Here is a 19,878-nt window from a genome sequence, read left to right on the forward strand (position 1 = left end):
ACAGCATCCACTTCTTTGTTTAGTGTGTATTTCAACCTCAACACATCGATAACTAGACTCCTAATCGCCTTCCTCAAACGGCTCCACTGCATCTTCTGCTGACTCAGTAGAAAGCAATGCCATTCTTCCTGATATTCAGGCCAGAAGCCTGACCTGATCCTTGATGTCTTTATTTTCCTCACACCTGTATCCAACCACTAGGAAAACCGACTGAATAGACCTTCGAAATAGATCCGGAGTCTGTCTTCTACCCCCAACCTCCTCTGCTCTCCCCCTGGTCCAAGCCACCATCATCTCTCACCTGGATTCACTTTCCAACAGGTCATTCTACTTGCCCCCTTTCCCCGAATAGACCATTCTCAGCACAGGAATCAGATGCGTCCTTCTTCTTTTTAGAGATGGGGTCTCACTATGTTGCCCAGGCTGGAGTGCAGTGTCTATTCACAGGTGCAAATATAGTGCACCACAACCACAACCTCAAACTACTAGACTGGAAGTATTCTCCTGTCTCAGCCTCTGGAGTATCTGGGACTACGGGCTCGTCCCACCTTGCCTGGCTAAAAGCATCCTTTTAAAACCTTAGTCTGGCCATGTGACTTTTCTGTTTAAAGTCATCCAATAAAGCCCCCATCTCACTCAGCAGAAAACCCCACGTCCTGAAAACCGAAGTCCTGATCTAGTAAGTCCCCCGTGAAAAGGTTCTGCTCCTTCTGACTCAGGGCCTTTTAGTGTTTTCTTGTTCACTTGGCTCCCACCACACCAGCCTCTCTGTTATTCCTCAAGCTTGCCAGGCAAACTCTAGACACCGTGGTTGTATCTCTTCCCTTTACCTAGGATGTCCCTTCCCCAGGTATCCATGAGCTGTCTTGAACCCCTTCACATCTTTGCTCAAAATCTCACTTTTTCCAGGCAGCTTTTCCCGACTATTCTGAAAAATTTGGCAAGCCCCAAATCCCAACAACTGCCATTTCTCTCCAGGCAATAAAATACCACATAAAATAATATTTTCCTTCTTTTGTTTGCAAGTACTTGCAAAGGAGCTGACAAGTTTTATACTATATGATAAGTATTCAGAAGAAAAGAAGCTCCTGAAGAAAAAATTATTCAATAGAATTATTTCCTAAAATCATAAATATATTGTTTATAAGAGACAATAAATTATTCTTTTGGCCATAAGCTAGTTTGAGTTGGTTTCTGTCACTTCAAAAGGATTAAGATGAATACATTCATTTATACTGATCTGGCAAATTTAAAGAATAAATGTTAATGATTCAAAGGGCTTTCGTTTAAATCTATGTCTCCTAAAAATTACATTAAAGTATTATACCTATTTATCCAATGGTCATACTTCTGGAAATTTTTCTCGAAAGAAATAATCTTAAAATCAGACAAAGGCCAATGCATAAAGAAGTTCATTTGATGCCTCATTTGTAATGGTCAAACATTAAAAATAAACTAAAATTTTAGCACTGTATTAGATGTTTTCAAAATGTAGCTCACAGACCTGTAGGGATCCCTGAGACAATTTTAGGTGATCTGTAAGAAGAAAATCGTTTTCATGACAATGCTGAGGTGCTGTTTGCCTTTCTCATGGTGTTGACATTTGCACTGTTGGAGCAAAAGCCATGGTGGGTGAGACTGCTGGGCGTTACCATGAATCCCAGCAGGGACACTAACAGGATGACTATTCATTGTACTGTTTACCGATGCATACTGTGAGTTGGTTTTTTAAAAATGCCAGATTCACTTACAGACACTTGACGAAGCAGGAAACATAACAGTTTTATTACATCTTTACCCTAAAGCTCACGTTATTTTTAATGTTCTATGTCCTGTGTAATAAAATGGGAAGAAGGCACAGTGTTTCCTCCACCTCCTGAGCAGCACGGCTATTTTCAAGCAGAGTATGTCTGTGCTTGCTTGAGTTGCAAATTCGACCAGCTGCTTTTCTTCATGGAATTCCATTTCTTTCTTAAAAGAATGGCTACCTAAAAACGATGGTTATGCGGTCTTTTCTATTTGTCAAACAATTTCTTACAGATAAATGAGCCCATCACTCCTACAATTACAATTGATGGTGTTTATTATAAATAATAAAATTGAATCTTTCAAGAAAGAATAGAATTTTAGAAAACTTGCATCCATCAGCATGAACTTGACAGTTTACTTGAAGACTTTCTGATGAGATCATGGTAATGTTAGTAGTTGTGATATTTTGATATTGTATAACAAATTGTATCAACATTTGGAAGATCTGTGTAACACAGTGAACCAATCATTTCCAAATGATCAACTTTTTATGTTACAAAATCATGTGTGGGTAAAACATTCCTTCCAAGGGTATGATAGACCAATGAATTTTAAGATGACAGAGTACAGAAAATGTGTTGATATGGCATCTGACTATTGCAATGAACCATTAAGATACTGCCATGTTTTAATTCTCTGCATAGTATGGAGTACCATTAGGTGTTTTCTGGTTTATTCACTTGTTTTATTTGTTTATTGTTTGTCTCTCCTGACTGAGAAGAGAGTCAATGAAGGAAAGGACCTTGCAGACCTTTTTCATTGTTGTATTCCTCAGTGTCTAGAGTAGTGCCTGGCATGAAGCAGATGTTCTGTAAATGAGGATTAAATAAATAAACACAACCACCAAATGAACCTTTATGCAGCCTGGTTTACCAAGAATATCTAGTGATTTGAGGAAATTCTCAAGACATATGGTTATTAAAAACCGATTTATAATTATGTGCAGGCATATCTAATATACAATGCACAATACATATTCTATAATATATAATGTAATGCAATATATATGCCCCGTAATAATAGTATACACATATTATTATTTCCATGTGTGTGTGTCTGTATGCGTTCTCACAAAAGTAAAACTCACAGGGTTGGTGGGAAAAGAAGCTTGGGGAAGACCACAGGAAACCTATGCAACTTTGTAACAAGGGCAACTAAAAGCCACTTATTGGTTCCTGGAGAGAGAACTTGGACACCTCAGACAGGCAGCTCAATGTGGCTAGAAGCAACACCCACAGGTTTCGGAAATAGTTTTATAACATATTAGTTCTATTCCTAGGACCCACCTCAGGTAGATTCCTTACATAATTAAAACAATTTTATTTCATATTCAGCTCAGGAAACTGACTTGTAGAATAGAAGAAATGAGTCTTTCTGAGGCTCTGCCACTAAAAGTCTGCGTATCCTTGGATGAGTCTGATCACCTTATTGTTTTTTTCTGGTAAGGAGATTGTAGTCAATTCAAATTGCAGGATCTCTAAAGATCATCCTGACAGGTAGATTCCATGACAGTCCATGTCATGATGCAAAGAATAATTTAATGAGGAAAACGTTCTGTGGCATCCTTTAAACATATAATTTCTATGTTGTTGCTTTGACCTGCTCATCTACAGAAGATAAGACGTTTGTTTGAAATCCTCATCCAATACAGAAAATCCCTTCCAGTGAAGTTCTAAGAGACCTTGCTTTTAGGAGGTTTTAGGAAAAGAAGGTTATTTATTTAAAAATTATCTGAGAGATGACTAGATAATGAAGCTAATGATGTGCTCCTTTTTTTTCTGTTGTATTGTTAACAACACATGCCCTCTGGAAAACCAAGCCAAAATTCCACCTGGAGAGAAAATCAGATCAACTAAAGTTCCTGTGAAGATTCAGTCAGTAGTAAAGAGGACATCTCATGTTCCCTGTCATTCTTCAGCCTGTACAATTATCCTGCTCTAAATAAGCAGATCTTGGATTACCCGACTTCAAATCATTGGTCTGGGAAGTAGTCGGGCTATGGAATGAGTTGTGTGGGAACCAGGAGAACAGGGCTTACCTTTCACGGTCACGTGGACGCTCTGGCTGGTGGAGAGTTGTGGTTGAACCAACACGTTGCACGTGTACTCCCCCTCGTCCACTTCCTTTTGCACATCTGAAAGTTTAAGAGTTCCATTGTTCTCAAATGCCACTTGGCGGTGGTTGAAAGGAAGCAGGTTAGAGTTCTTGTACCATTTAATGGAGTAATACGGATAGCCAATCACACGACAGTGAATGTATGTGTCCCGTCCTGCTATTGCTGTGATGTTTTTCATTGGTCGAATGCTTGCAGGCCCTGGAGAGACACAAAGAAACTCTTGAAAATAATTTAAGGGTACATCTCATGTAGGGAAATGGGTACACTTTTCCTTGAGTTAAAAATGTAGATTATATTCATGTAAGCACATCTTTTTCAGTTAAACAAATATTTTTGCATGTGGCATTTTCTACAACAAAGGTTTTTCTTTCCTTTTCTTAAATTCAAATGTATAACTGTGAAACACTTTATCTGCTACTTCTATGAAAATGTTTTGAATTAAAAATTACAAGATAAAAGGCAATTTAATTAATAGAAAGTAACTAGTCTATACTGGACAATCACGCACTTTTGGTGAACACACTGGCAGCAATTGATCAATTGTTTAACTCTCTCTGTAAAATCTAGGACGACAATGGAGGTTACATCACGTTGCAGCATGAATGTAAGTTTAATACCATGTACATGAAGGTTTACCATGAATGTGGAAGAACCGAAGAGAAGGAGAAGGGAAAGGGCATGCAGAGCATAAACCAGGAAAGGAAACATCAGGTGAACAGATCTAGAGTAAAAAAGAACAAGCTGACTACAGAAACCAAAATGCCATTTCCAACATTAACCCAGTCAGTGCCATTCCTGAGTAGGAAGGAGAGGGTAGGAAATGGGAAGCAACAGTTAATCCGCTCTGGCATTCCAAGACCCAGCTCGGTGCATGCAGAAATCTTCTTCTCCACTATAATGAGTTATGTGTGTTTTTTTGAGGAGCTGATTTGACAAGCACCTCTTACGTTTATTCGAGCCTGGTACAGGACGACTCCCGCCGAGTTGTTGGCAGTGCAGCGGTAGACTCCCCCGTCCCGGACCTGGGAGCTGGAGATGTTCAGGTAGCTGACCACGTTCCCCTCCGACGTGATCATCTGGCTGATGCGGTGACTGCCACCCTTGAGAATCGGGTCATCGTCCAGGGTCCACGTGATCGTGGGCAAAGGTGTTCCCTTCACGTTGCACATAAGGGAAACCGGCTCTGCTGGACTCACCACCTTTTCACTAAAGGCAGAAATAATTTTGGGAGTTCCATCTGCAGGAAAACAAATTATGGAAGAAAGTGGCACATACAAATAATTAAACAACTTCCAAGTATATGTCTTTCATGTCTAGGGGGTAAATGTCGTAGTTGTTAAACATTACCAAAAAGGTCTGGTTTTCCTGATAAAGCAAAACGTTAATCAGAACAAGAGTTCACTGTTTTCAAAACAGGTAAGCACAGTGTTAGCAAGCTTTCATCAACTGTTTCTATATTTCCTGATTGACTTAAGAGGAATGGTAATACAACTCAGATGTTCAGGTTAAACAATGACAGCTCCTAAGAAGTCCTTAATTTAAAACTGGTGTTTCCTCACACAAAGTTATAAACAGACGGAAAATCCACACCCGCTCACTCCCACAAACAGTCACTTTATCTGTTAGGTTGGTGCAAAAGTGATTGCAAAAAGTAATGGCAAAAACAGCAATTACTTTTGCACCAACCTAATACTTCCTCAAGTTATTTGGGGTTTTCTCACTAGGGAATTCTTTACAGGAATAAAGGAAACTACTGAGAGATTGATGACCTCATCTTCATCATTTTCTCATAAGAAATCCTCTTTTAATAACTTTAATTACAAATAGTAATTGCATGCAAACTTCCATGAAGTCTCTGAGAATGGGTAGAAGCTAAATAAAGTTTGTATTAAATGCCGTGTATTAAAAACCTCTAAAGATATCTTAAGTAGGGTACTTAAGCATGTTTTAAATCTCTCTAAAAGTATCTTAAGTAGGCTGGCCATATAATTTAACATCCAACCTGGGACACTTTTGAGGCTGAAACAGAAAGGACTAATAATTATGCCAAGAGAACAGGCATGACCCAGAACTATCGCAGGCAAACTAGGATCTTAATCTTAGAGAAGTCTCCATAGAAATTTTCAGTATGTTTACATAGATCAAATTTTCATATTCCATTATTTTTCTATCATCCATATGGTTTTTTCTCTTATATAGTAATAGTTACAAATGCATGTTTCTTTTATATATGTTTTTCCATTTATAAAAAGAAATACATGCATATTAAAGGAAATGTATGAAAATCAGAAGAAAAGTTACCAATAGGTCAGCCAGCCTCAGGCATACAAATCAACACTGTGACACATTTTTTCTAGGCATAAGTGGGTCATTTTGACATAATTGCAATCACATGCCACAGGATTTCTGAGTCTGGTAAGAGACCTTGCTGGAGGGGACATCTTTTGTTTTTTAAAAGAATTTTTGTGTTCAATTAAAGGGTTGTCCCATAATGAAAGATAAGAATGAGTAGATTTTTTTTAGTTTTTGATTTTATTATAAAAGTAATGAATCTCCATTGTTGAATATCTTTTTTGTTGAAAATTGGAAAGTATTATAAACAAAAAGAAAGGAGGCAAGCAAAATTAGGATAGCTTGCAATTCCATCAGGGAAAGGTGACAGTTAATGGTTAATAGTACCAGACACCTTTGAGGAAAGTGCCACTCATTCCCCCAGAACCTTGGGGCCTAGTTCTTGGTCAGGGAGGCCAGTTATGTAGGGTCTTCATGGTGATGGGGCTGTGCTGCAGCTCTTCCCTCCACCCCCTACTCCTTTCCAAATTCCTGAATCTCACTTCTTCATTCCAGCTCATGTTTCAGGTGGCTGGAGAAGTCCCTGGAGTTTGTTTCCTCCAGGCTATGCTCATAAGTAGCATATTGCAGTGTCCTTGGGTTGTAAGCATTTTGTCTCTTACTATCAGAGATGAAAAAGACAACTTTAAAATATTAAAATGAAAAATTGATGCTTTTGTCTTTAACGCACTGCAGACGTTGCCTCATCACATCCTGTGTTTAATTTTACAGAGAAGTTAGATGTCATCATGATTGCTATTCATTGTCCATGATCAGTCATTAATACTTAGGAGTACTGGAGTTATTTCACGTGTCCTTTATAATTCCATGGTTTTTGTAAAATGTGTTTAGCTGTAGATTTCTTTTCACTGGTTTTTACATTAAGCTCTGAAAACTCAAGTGTTTAGAAAAATGTTCTTCAGTTATACTTCTCTTTTTGTAGGTAAATTTTACATACAGTGAAATATACAGATCTTAAGTGTACAGCTTAGTTTTGCTAAATATATACACACCAGAGTAACCACAAAAACGATCAAGATATAAAACATTTCCATTACCAAAATTCCTTAAGTGCTCCTTTCAATAAATCCACATCCAACAGAGATCACTGCTCTGATTCCTCTTAGGATGTGCTGGTTTTGCCTGTGCTTGAGCTTAGAAGAAACATAATAATAGAGTATGCACGCTTTATATGTGCATATATATCATCATAATCAGAGTACACTTAGAATATAATTAGAAGATGTAACTTTGGAACAGTACTATTATCTAACTCACTGTCCACAGCAAAATTCTGTCCATTGACCGCTAATATCCCTCGTCACTGTTTTTTTTCCAGAGCAGTCCGTATCACCCATTATTTATGTTTCATGTCATTTCAGCCTCTTTTCATCTGGAACATTCTTCAGCCTCTTTTGTGTTTCTTGACTTTTACATTTTTGAAGAGTAATTTTGTAGTCAGTTGCTGAAATTGGGTTTGTCTCATATTTCCTCATGACTAAACGCAGGTTGTATATTTTTCCCAGAAATACCGTGGAAGGCACGTGTTTTATGTGCCTATTGGCCATCCGTGTGTTTCCTTTAGTGGGTGTCTGCTCAAATCTTTGGCCATTGTTATATTAGACTGTTTGCCTTTTTGTTTTTGATTTGTTGTGGAATACAACAATTGAAATACAAGGAAATATATATATAGTATCTATGTCAGATATCTTATAATGATCTGATACATTTGTAAGATTCCTATAGAGATTATATATAATATCTGTCAACATATATATGACACATATATTTGTGTGTGTATAAAATATTTTATCCCAGTCTGTGGTTGCCTTTTTCTTTTCTTAATAATGTATTTGTGTTGACATTTAATGCTTTCTGTGTCCTAAGAAATCGTCACCTATTCGCAAATCATGAAGAATTATTCTGTTTTCTTTTGGAGACTGTGTTGCTTTATACTTTATATTCAATTCTATACGGATAGCAACTTAATTTTGTGTGGATATGAAGTGTGATGTAGGGATTAATACTCATTTTTTTGCCATACATTTATTGAGTTGTTTCAGTGTTAATTTGTTGAAAAGGTACATATAGTATGTGTATATGTGTGTGTGTGTGTGTATATATATATATATATATATATTTTTTTTTTTTTTTTGAGACAGTGTCTCTCTCCCTCTGTTGTCCTTGGTGTGGCACAATCTCCCAAGTAGCTGGGACTGCAGGTGCACACCACGCCTTTTTTTTTTTTTTTTTTTTTTGTAGAGACAAAGTTTTGCCATGTTTCCCAGGCTGGCCTCAAACTCCTGGGCTAAGGGCCTCAGCCTCCCAAAGGGCTAGGATTACAGGCACAAGCCACCATGCCTCAGTTTTGCTTGAAATCACATTAATCGTTTTAGAGAGAATTGTTAACTTAGGAATATTTAGTTTTCTAATCCTTGAATATGGTATATCTTTTCAATTTTTTAGGTTATTTCAATTTTATATTAGCAGAGTTTTGTATTTTTGTATGTTGAAATCTTTCACGTTTGTTTAAAATATATTCCTATCTTATGTTTTATGTTATTGTAAATGAAAGTTTCAAAATATTAGTTTCCAATTGTTTGTTCTGAGTATATAGAAATAAAATTGCATTTTGTGTATCATTCTTATATCCAATGACTTTTTAAACTCTCTTTTAGAAATTGCTTTATTGTTTTCTTGGCATATTCTTTGTAAACAACAATGCCTGTAATTAAGACAGCTGAAATTTTTCCTTTCCAAACTCCATCCATTTTATTTCTACTCAAGCCTAACTAGGGCTGCTAGTATAATGTTGAATGGAAGTGGTGGATGTGGGCATCCTTGATTTGGTCTCAATCTTAAATGAAAAACATTTAGTGTTTAACCAGGAAGTATGATTTTAGCTGTAGATTGTTCAGGATGCCACTCATTAGGTCAAGGAAGCTCTCTAGAGTCTCAGTTTGCTAGAAATTCTTTATGCTGAATGGATGCAAGTTTCATCAAATGATTTTTTCTGTATATATTGAGATAATCAATTGGATTTGCTCCCTTATTCTATTAACATAGTGACTTACACGGATTAGATTTTTAATGTTCTTCCAATCTTGCATTATAAGATAAGCTCCAATTGATTTACACACACACACACACAATCTATATGTATATCAATGTGTGTGTATATGTTTTAAATTATCTCTGCTAAAAGTTAAGATTGCAGTACTTTATGTGAAATGTAAGAACCCTGCAACAAATAATTCTGCCCTTTGTGTTATTACATCTATTATATTTACTCTATAATAAAGTGTTATTTTATTTTACTTTATTTTATTTATTATTATTTTATTTCATTTTATTTTATTTTTTATTTTATTATTTTATTTCATTTTATTTATTTTATTTTATTTTATTTTTAGAGATGGAGTCTCACTCTGTCACCCAGGCTGGAGTGCAGTAGCAGGATCTCGGCTCACTGCAACCTCCACCTCCTGGGTTCAAGCTGTTCTCCTGCCTCTGCCTGTAGCTGGGATTACAGGCACATGCCACCACACCTGGCTAGTTTTTGTATTTTTAGCAGAGACAGGATTTTGCCATGTTGGCCAGGCTGGTCTCAAACTCCTGACCTCGAGTGAGCCGCCTGTCTCGGCTTCCTAAAATGCTGGGATTACAGGCGTGAGCGACAGCACATGGCCAAGTGTGGTAATTTTATAATGTTATAATCATCAATTGTTTAAAGAAATTAAAAAAGAAAACACAATTTTGCTAAATATTTACTAATATATTTACCATTTCTCATGGTATTTGTTCTTATAGATATGTCTCCATTTTATGTTCCATTTCTGTTCCATGTTATCTATATCCTGTAGATATAAATGTCCATTCTCTATATCCGGCATGACTTCATTTATCATTTATTAATGTGCAGGGCTGCTGACATTATATTCTTTCACCTCTTTATTACTGAAAATATCTTTATTTTTCCTTAATTTTTAAAGCCTGTTGTTGTTGGGTTTTTTGCTACAGAAGTCTGCGTTGGCAGGGCTGTGTCTTTGTTTTTCGTTTTCTTTTCAACATTTTAAAGATGTTGCTCCATTGTCTCCTGTCCTCCAAAATATCCGATGAATCATCTACCATTTGTTATTGATGTCCTCATTATGTAATATTTTTCCTCCCTCAGATTTTTAAGTTTTTCTCTTTATCTTCGGTTTTCAGCAGCTTAACTCTGATGTACTGACATAGAATTTTCTTTGTGTTTATTTTTGGAGTTTGCTGAGTTTCTTAGATCTGCAACCTTACTTTTATACCAAAGTCGATAAAACTAAGGTCATTATCTCTGAATACTTTTTTCTTCTGCATTCCGTATCTCCTATTTTTCTGGGCCTCTAGTCATATGTGTGTGTCACGTTATCTGATGATGTCCTACTTGTCACTGAAGCTCTAATCATTTTCTTTGCAGTCTTCTTTCTCTCCATGCTTCAGATTGAATAATTTTCTAAGATTTATCTTCAAGTTCACTGATACTTTCTTCTTCCTTCTCTAATCTTGTATTAAACAAATATGGTGATTTTTTTTCATTTCTACAGACTGTTTTCTACAGTTTCAATTTCTCTGTTGGTCTTTCCCATACGTTCACTCTTTCAGTCCATATTTTCCTGTAAGTTATTGAACATATTTTAAATAGCATCTGTAAAGTCCTTGTTTGCCAGTTCTAACATCTGGGTCCTCTCATGATTTGTTTCTATCGTTTGCTTTGTCTTTTGTCCTTTGGGTGCAGAGTCCTGTTTTTTGTATGTCTCATTTTTATTGCACATTTGTATTCTCACTCCCCATTTTTGGAGTTCAGATGTGTCCTCAGTGGAAGAGGACACTCCCCAACTTGATTTTGGTGTCTCTCAAATGTCTATATATACTTTTGCTTTTCCCAAAGTTTCTTGTTTTTATCATCTTGGGAGTTAGGCTGATATATGCTATTTTACCATTCCCAGAACTGGAAACTTTTATTATTCTTTTTTAAAATCATTCCATTTTTCAGGTATTATGGTTTTATCCTGAACTTATAATTATTAAATTCCATTTTATAGCCTCATAGGAAATATTCTCAGATTCTCCATTGTATCTATCCTCAGTCCTAGTTCACAGTATTGCAAATTTTTATAATTTTACTTTAATCCATCGCTATTTCAGTGAGAATAATGGGAGTGTTTTTGTTTTCCAGAGGAAATTAGCCAGACACTCTTTTAAAGCAGGTACTAGATATGTATTTGTAATTCCATTTCTGCTTTCTTTGCTACATTAGCACTGTCATCTCTCAGAAGAGAGAAAAAAAAAAGTGAAGCTTCTTGTCCTGAATGGAAGCTGACATGCGACAAATAAATCTGCGAGTGTGCTGGCGGTGCGCCTCGGCCCCCTTTTTAGTTCAAGTGACAGGCTCTTTTGGAGATGAAAGCAGACATTATTTTCCCAGGGAGACCTGAGTGTCTTTGAAATCTTTCTTGCTGTCACTCTGATAACCTGAACTCTTCTGACATCGTTATGGATCATCAATATGGTCTTTAGGTTTTCTTAGTTGCACCAAATGGTTGCCGGGGTAACTGGGCCTAGACAGGTAATTTCTCCTTTTTCTACAAAGAATCTAAAAATAGTGACTATGTAAGGACTAGAGTGCATCATCATTAGCAAACTGGTTCTGCACAAATTGATTACTTTCTGCACTTAATTATTATACGGAACACAGTGTCAGGCATTTAATATGAATACCATGCCTTCAGCTAATTTCACCTCTGCTTTAAAAATCTCACTGTCTGCAATGAAACGATTGAATCAAAATAGGAATCTCATTGCTAAACCTGCTACTTCTTAAAAAATTAGCTAAGGTTAAAAAAGAATGACAGAAATATGGTCTTATAATCAAGATATATTTAAACTTACTTTCACATATTAGTGTGTTTTCTTTGTACTCCCTTTAGGCTATATCAAAATCATTTTATTATTTTAATCAATTGATATCAGATGAATTTTAAATTATATATGGACATAATTTCCAACAAGACACACAAATACATAGATAGAAGCTAGTTCAATCAGGTAGTGATAAATATATGTTGCCTGTGATAGCTTCTTTCTCTGGCTGACTGATAAGCTTTAAGATTTAGTATGCAGTAACCAGTTAAAAAAAAGCAAATCGTATCACATATCCAAAACCTGTTATTATACCACAAAATAATTCCTCACAAATTTCATTTACTTAAATCTGAGAACATTTGGATGGAACTAGGGACAACTGCACCAAACAGATGCCATATTTTCATTCTACCAACCACTGTACTGACATTTTGCTCTGCATTTTCAATCTGAAGTTGTACTTCTCCACTGGAGGCTATTGCCCCCACCCCACCCAGCAAACACCTGGCAATGTCTGGAGACATTTTTGGTTGTAACAACTTGGAGGAAGGTGCTCCTAGCATACATCTAGTGGAAAGGGGCCAGAGATGCTGCCAAAGATCCTATAACACATAAAAAAGTTTCCCAAGATGCCTGTAATCCCAGCACTTTGGGGGGCCGAGGCGGGCAGATCACCTGGTCAGAAATTGGAGACCAGCCTGACCAACATGGAGAAACCCCATCTCTACTAAAAATACAAAATTAGCCAGGTGTGGTGGTGCATGCCTGTAATCCCAGCTACTCGGGAGGCTGAGGCAGGAGAATTGCTTGAACCCGGGAGGCAGAGGTTGTGATGAGCTGAGACTGTGCCACTGCACTCCAGCCTGGGCAGCAAGTGTGAAACTCCATCTCAAAAAAAAAAAAAAAAAAATTCCCCAAGCAAGGCATTCTTGAAAGACCCTGGTCTAGAGATGAATAATCAACAAAACTGTTAAGTGTCAAGTTTCTTCTAAGATTTAAACCCTGGCAGATAACTTCTAATGCACAAGTGGGCAACATTTATGTTACTTTACATTACTTCTAATATGAAACAATTTTATTTTCGTCAGAACTTTCTCTCCCATTTGCCTGATTTAGCTTGAAAAATTAGGGTAGAGTACTAGCTGGTGAGACAGAGAGCCTAGAACTGAGCGATCAGCACTGCTTCACCCTGTCTTCTTCTTTTCTGAGTGCTCTGGGTTTGGGTTCTTTTTCAGCCATACCCTGAAACGAGGCCCACTGACCTTCAAGGACCACCTGCACATAGTCTTGAGCGGACAGCTTGTCCTTGCGCACAAAGCACTGGTATGCGCCCCCGTCACTTTTGACCATGTGATCCATTATAAGGTTTTCGTGGTTGATCCCTGTGATCCTCACATTTTTTCCAGGGTTGAGGATTTCACCATTGCGGTACCAGGAGAGTTCCTGGTCCTCAGTTCCTGTCACGCTGCAGGACAAGGAAACTTGGCTACCCACGCTGCTTTTAACCTTCCTGGGACTGATGGTGGCTTTCAGTGGCTCTGGAGGTTTTAGTAAGAGAGAGAGAAAAAAGATAAAAACATCACTAGATAGCATTTCGACAACAGGCTGGACTTTCAACAAAGCAAGTGCATCACGCAATCATACTCCACACAGTTCCCATCAGCCACATTATTGCAATCATACTCCACACAGTTCCCATCAGCCACATTATTGCAATCATACTCCACACAGTTCCCATCAGCCACATTATTGCAATCATACTCCACACAGTTCCTATCAGCCACATTATTGCAATCGTACCCCACACAGTTCCTATCAGCCACATTATTGCAATCATACCCCATACGGTTCCTATCAGCCACATTATTGCAATCATACCCCAGAGAGTTCCTATCAGCCACATTATTGCAATCATACCCCATACATTTTGTATCAGCCACATTATTGCAATCATACCCCAGAGAGTTCCTATTAGCCACATTATTGCAATCATACCCTAGAGAGTTCCTATCAGCCACATTATTGCAATCATACCCCATACGGTTCCTATCAGCCACATTATTGCAATCATACCCACACAGTTCCTATCAGCCACATTATTGCAGTCATATCCCATAAAGTTCCTATCAGCCACATTATTGCAATCATACTCCTAACAGTTCTTATCAGCCACATTATTGCAATCAAACTCCACACAGCTCCTATCAACCACATTATTGCAATCATACTCCACACAGTTCCTATCAGCCACATTTTTGCTATCATACTGCATGCAGTTCGTATCAGCCACATTATTTCACAGAGGAGCATTTTGTTTGGGAACATCCTCTTCGCTATTTTTTATTTCTGGCTTTATTTCTCTTTGCAACAAATGCAATAATGTTGGTCAAACTGCCTTCTCAGGAGTCTCTGTGAGGATGTTGATATAAATCCACTGACAATAAGAGATACAGGCCAGGCATGGTGGCTCACACCTGTAATCCCAGCACTTTGTGAGGCCAAAGTGGGAGGATCACGAGGTCAGGAGATGGAGACCATCCTGGCTAACACAGTGAAACCCCATCTCTACTAAAAATACAATTAGCCGGGCGTGGTGGCGGGCTCCTGTAGTCCCATGTACTTGGGAGGCTGAGGGAGGAGAATGGTGTGAACCTGGGAAGAGGAGCTTGCAGTGAGCTGAGATGGCGCCACTGCACTCTAGCTTGGGGGACAGAGTGAGACTCCATCTCAAAAAAAAAAAAAAAAAAAGAAATGCAACATGCTGGCTACCAATAGTGACCTAAGTATTGATCATATAAATCCTAATTTGCCTTGTCCCAAGGTGGCACTGGTGGGTTTGCCCTGGGCCATTCTCACACACATGTATGACATATGTGGTTTACCCAGGGCCAATAACACACAATTGTGAGGAAAAAAAAAACAAAAACAGGTTGGTATTAGAATTTGTGACCACGAAACAGAGTTTTTCTTTAAAATGGGGCTGAGTGATTTAGACAGGGAAGAAACTCTCATCCTCGCCTTGCTATGTTTTCAATTCAACAACCTTAATCCAATGTAGAAAACATTTACTGAGCATCTGTCATATGCCAAGGATGAGGTTAAACTCACAGGCAAGAAAAATGGAATAATATTTGTGGTGCAGCTAGCTTGTGCTATAAAATTATCGACTATCTTTCATACATCATTTAAGTCAGTCTTCTCCTAATCCTGTAATTTTTGTGTTATCTCTATTTTACAAAACAGAAAATAGTTATTGAGAGCGCTTAAATAACTCAGCCAAATCCAATCAACAGGTAAATGGCAAATCAAAACAAAACAAAACAAAATTTTTGGTGAAAGACCTACAGTTACAGATTTTTAAAGGTCAGAAAGTGCTGAGCAGAGAAAATCTGATGAAAATCCTGTCTAGTCATATTACAAATTATGGAAAACGAAAAATAAAGAGAAATTCTTTAAAGCAGACAGCAAAAATGGCAAATGACATACAGAGAAACAAAGATCTGAATGACCTCTGATTGTTTAGCAGAAGCAAATGGAGGCCAGAAGACATATAAATATATCTTTTAAATTAACAAACATCTCTTGTAGATGGCAGATGGCTAAGATTTGCTTTTTAATCCATTCTGGTAATCTTCTCCTATTATTATTATTATTATTTATTTCACTTTAAGTTCTGGGATACATGCGCTGAACCTACAGGTTTGTTTACACCTTATACGAAAATTAACTCAAGATGGATTAAAGACTTAAATGTAAAACCTAAAACCATAGAAACGCTAGAAGAAAACCTAGTCAATACCATTCAGGACATATGCATGGACAAAGACTTCATGACTAAAACACCAAAAGCAATTGCAACAAAAGCCAAAATTGACAAATGGGATCTAATTAAACTAATAAGCTTCTACTTACTCAGCAAAAGAAACTATCAGAATGAACAGGCAACCTACAGAATGGGAGAAAATTTTTGCAATCTATCCATCTGACTAAGGTCTAATATCCAGAGTCTACAAGGAACTTAAACAAATTTACAAGGAAAAAAACAAACAACCCCATCAAAAAGTGGGTGAAAAAAAAGCTTTTTTTTACCCCAGTTGTTCCTAACTTTTCATCTCACCACACTTTGTTTTCAAGGAGCTCAGTCTTCTAGGTTGATAAGACAAAGGCAATAAATGGCTGTAATAACCAACCAGAGTGATGGAGGGGCCATTAGAGACATAGCACATGTGGAGGAGGGTGGATGGGAAGAGCAGGAAATCCACAGATATCAAGGGTGCATAGAACTGAGATCAGTCAGAATGGAAAGAGGGAATCACAGAGATTGGGAACCACATGAATTAAGGCAGGGAGCAGGGGCATGTCTGAGAATTTCTGATTCATTTTGGATGCAACAGAGAGTCCCTGAGATTTTGGAATTAAACAAAGATAACTAAAGAAGGCATTCAAAAGTGTTTAGCAAATAAGTCATACTTTTTTTTTTTTTTTTTTTTTTTTTTTTAGAATTGGGGCCTTGCTCTGTCACCTAGGCTGGAGTGCAGTGGCACAATCATACAGAGGAGTTTCTGTAGCCTGAAACTCCTCTCCCTTTCTGCCTCAGCCTCCTGGGTAGCTGGGACTACAGACACAAGCCATCACACCCAGCACAAACATACTTTTAATGGAATCACTAGGTCATAGGTCTTTTGACAAATTAGGGTGAGGAAAACCCGTCATTGAAGACATTACACATGTCTAGTGTAGGTACAATTAAGATCCAATCTAGGACAGGACAGAGGTTGAGAACAGAGCTGAGTAACTGTGAGATTCAGTTTGTATGACTTGGCAGGACATGGCAGGACTTGGCAGGATGTAGAAAGGAAAGGCTTAAAGGGCACCCAACATTTCATGTTTGCATCTGAGGGATGAGAAGGAGGAAGATGTTGATAATAATAACAAGAGCCATTTGGAAGGAAGAGGTGGTGGAGAGTTCAGTTTGGTATCCGACCCTGTTGTTTTGAAGTGCCAACTAAATTTCTGAAAGAAAGCTGGTTGACACACTTGTCTGACATTCAGGAAGGACGCCAAGGCTGTAAGTACAGATTCAGAGCTTATTTTCAGGGGCAAGGAATTCGAAGCTCTACAAATGAAACAGAGCCTAAGGAAAAGGGAAGAGCTTGACAAGAAGACAGTTCTGAATTTGGAGCCCAAGAGAATGCCTTCCAATAGAGAAGAGAGATAGGAACGAAGAAGCTGTTTTCTTCTGCAGTTAGAAGAAGCAGTCAGAAGGGAGGCAGAGAATATTCCAGAAGCATTGGAGAATCACCTAGATGTGGAAGAAGGGAACAATGATAAAAATAAGCACATTAAGAATAAAGGCTTTTAAAATATAGGTAGTGATAAACGCCTTTAGAGAGAAAGCAGTAACATACTCTGAGTTGAGAAGGAGACAGGAGAATGGGGAACAACACATCTTTGTGGATGGAGGCTAAGAGAGTTGGGAAGTGTTAGATAACCAAGTATTGGGAAATAATCTTCCATGTGGAGGAAGCAACATAAGTAATGTGACTTGCAATCAGGAAAGGAATAGGTTTGTGCAGGGATTAGGAAGAAGTTAGATTTAGCAGGAATAGGTTTTTATTAACCCATTTATGCCTGAGGTTGCAATTTTTTTTGAATTTTTGCAATCAGACCTTGGTGATGACCTTGCACAGTAGGATGTAAATAACTCCCACATGCTTAGTGTTCCAATAATGGAACACTAGTCATAAGTGGGTTTTAATGCAAAACAATGGGAAATACAACCAGACAGATTTGCTTGAGATGCCTTCAGTACTATCCTAAGATATAAACTTTATTCAATGGAGAACAGGGAGCTAGGAGAGGTCTTTAAACACAGAAGAGACTTTGAGCCCGTGGGAATAATTCTTACTGGCTGTCCAATGCTGCATTATTTTATCCACATGATTCTTCAGCTATAGAAGTGTGACTGTGGATTTTATCATCCATTTCTTTCTAATCCCAGACTAAACATATTCAAATATTTGCAGGATTCAGGCTGGACAGCCTGTTCCAGATAGAGAGTCATTTGGATATTTAATATAAATATATTCTCTTAGGCTGGTGTTGCGCTAAGGCAGTCTACACTCAGGTTGACACTGAAGAGAAAGTTCCATAAACAGGGTTAGGGCTGGGTGGGGAGGAGGAAGTAAGAAAACACTTCTATTGTCACTGTGAGATTCTTGTGGTTAAATTTGTTCAATTTAGTTCATCAAATAAAAATATATTTTCAAAAAAGGAGCATTATATTGGCAACTAAGACCTCCTCTCTGACCAATGCTCTGCCTCCCTTTTCTGGCCATGTGATCTTGGGTAATTCACTTTAATTTGGTTTCTGCAAGAGCAAAATTGAGGGTGGTTGAGTAGATTAGATTGTGACCCTGCGATCACATCCCTCCTTCCTCCAAATCTGCCTTCAGTATCCTTCTGAACACATTCCTCAAGGCAGCCAAGGCAATCAATAGAAGATCAAATAAATCCATTATATTTGGAGTAGATGATCTATAATACTAGGCACAAGTCTAATATTTGGGTATGTTTGAGCCCCGTACTTTGGGTGATAATAGCCTCATTTAGAAATTTAATGGAGAAATGGTCTGGAAACAGACAAAGGACAACTGCTTTGATTGGCTACCATCACTTGTGCTGAAAGAACAATCCTACCCTCTCTCTCTGTTCATTTTTAGAGAGACTGGTTGTTGTGAATTCATCAGCTAGGAAGTGTTATCTTGAAATCATATCTTGGAAATGTAATAGTCTGTGGCCTAATGGAAATCACAGAGGTTTGGGGATCAGAAAGATTTCAAATCAAATCCGACAGCCAAGACTCTCCAGTTGTGTAACCTTGGGGAATTCATCTGAGCATTAATTTTCACATCTGTAAAATGAGGTTTCTGTTGATCTCAGCTGGACTGTTTTGGGAGTTAATGGAAAGCTACAGAGAAAACATGGAGATTTGCTTATAACAGGAGCTCCATCGATGGAAGCCAACACCACCTTTGCAAGTTACCGTCCAACTTACGTTTCACGTACAGGCGGCCTATCACCTTAGCAGTTCCGTATCTGTTGGACACTTCACAAACATAGCTGCCTGAGTCCGAGGGGCGAATGTTCTCAATGAGCAGCCCCGTCACGGTCTTCTGGAACCTCCCTGAAAGTTCCAGGGGCATGTTGTCCTTCAGCCAGCGGTAATCTGGCTCAGGGTGCCCGAGCGCTTTGCAAGGCAGCTCCACACGCTGCCCAGCCATGGCTTTGCGATGGTCAAACCCATCCAGTATGGATGGGGCTGAGTTCGCTGGGTCTGTAGAAGAAATAAAAACTCTTAGAGGCAGGAATGAGGAGTTGAAGTGGTCATTTAGAATTGTAGGACTTCATGTATAACTTAAATACGGTGCATCATACCAACTATTGATACAGATCTTTAAGATTTTATAAGTGAACAGAAAAAGAAGTGCCCTATTCATACAATTTATTTTCTGCTCAGAATTTACAAAAGGTTGAACACTGGTCAGAGCTTCTGTTGGTCATTCCTCAGTAAATGAATAAAAGATCCAGAATGAGCAGGCTTCAACAAGAGCTGTCAGCTCAGGCCAAAAATCAGATTGTCTTTTCATAACTGGGAATGTCAGAATTCTCTTTAAAAGATCCTTAATGGGTACAAATATGCAATTTGAGATAAGAAATAAGAC

At 38.0% G+C, this 19,878-nt stretch overlaps 1 protein-coding gene across 4 annotated transcripts in view, besides 1 other annotated feature; it reads right to left on the bottom strand.

Annotated features, from left to right (window-relative positions):
- The window catches only part of DSCAM (DS cell adhesion molecule), an 836,160-nt gene that overhangs the window by 323,255 nt on the left and 493,027 nt on the right, over nucleotides 1–19,878 (bottom strand). For all 4 annotated transcript variants that reach the window (NR_073202.3, NM_001271534.3, NM_001389.5 and 1 more), the window contains 4 exons: nucleotides 19,212–19,490; nucleotides 13,417–13,692; nucleotides 4,866–5,162; nucleotides 3,848–4,123 (listed from right to left, as the gene is read on the bottom strand). Coding sequence is in view for 3 of the 4 variants with exons in the window: in NM_001271534.3 (NP_001258463.1) it covers nucleotides 3,848–4,123; nucleotides 4,866–5,162; nucleotides 13,417–13,692; nucleotides 19,212–19,490 (1,128 nt within the window). In the remaining variant the exon portion in view is untranslated. The remainder of the gene's footprint in view (nucleotides 1–3,847; nucleotides 4,124–4,865; nucleotides 5,163–13,416; nucleotides 13,693–19,211; nucleotides 19,491–19,878) is intronic.
- Nucleotides 3,723–4,922: an enhancer, noted in NCBI's record as "BRD4-independent group 4 enhancer chr21:41709903-41711102 (GRCh37/hg19 assembly coordinates)". NCBI's record gives its function as "activates an origin of replication core promoter dependent on BRD2, P300/CBP, MED14 and CDK7 cofactors, and independent of BRD4, by STARR-seq in HCT116 cells {active_cell/tissue: HCT116}" and the evidence as "EXISTENCE:reporter gene assay evidence [ECO:0000049][PMID:35650434]".

This window comes from Homo sapiens, chromosome 21, assembly GCF_000001405.40.
Source record: "Homo sapiens chromosome 21, GRCh38.p14 Primary Assembly".
Taxonomy (NCBI): domain Eukaryota; kingdom Metazoa; phylum Chordata; class Mammalia; order Primates; family Hominidae; genus Homo; species Homo sapiens.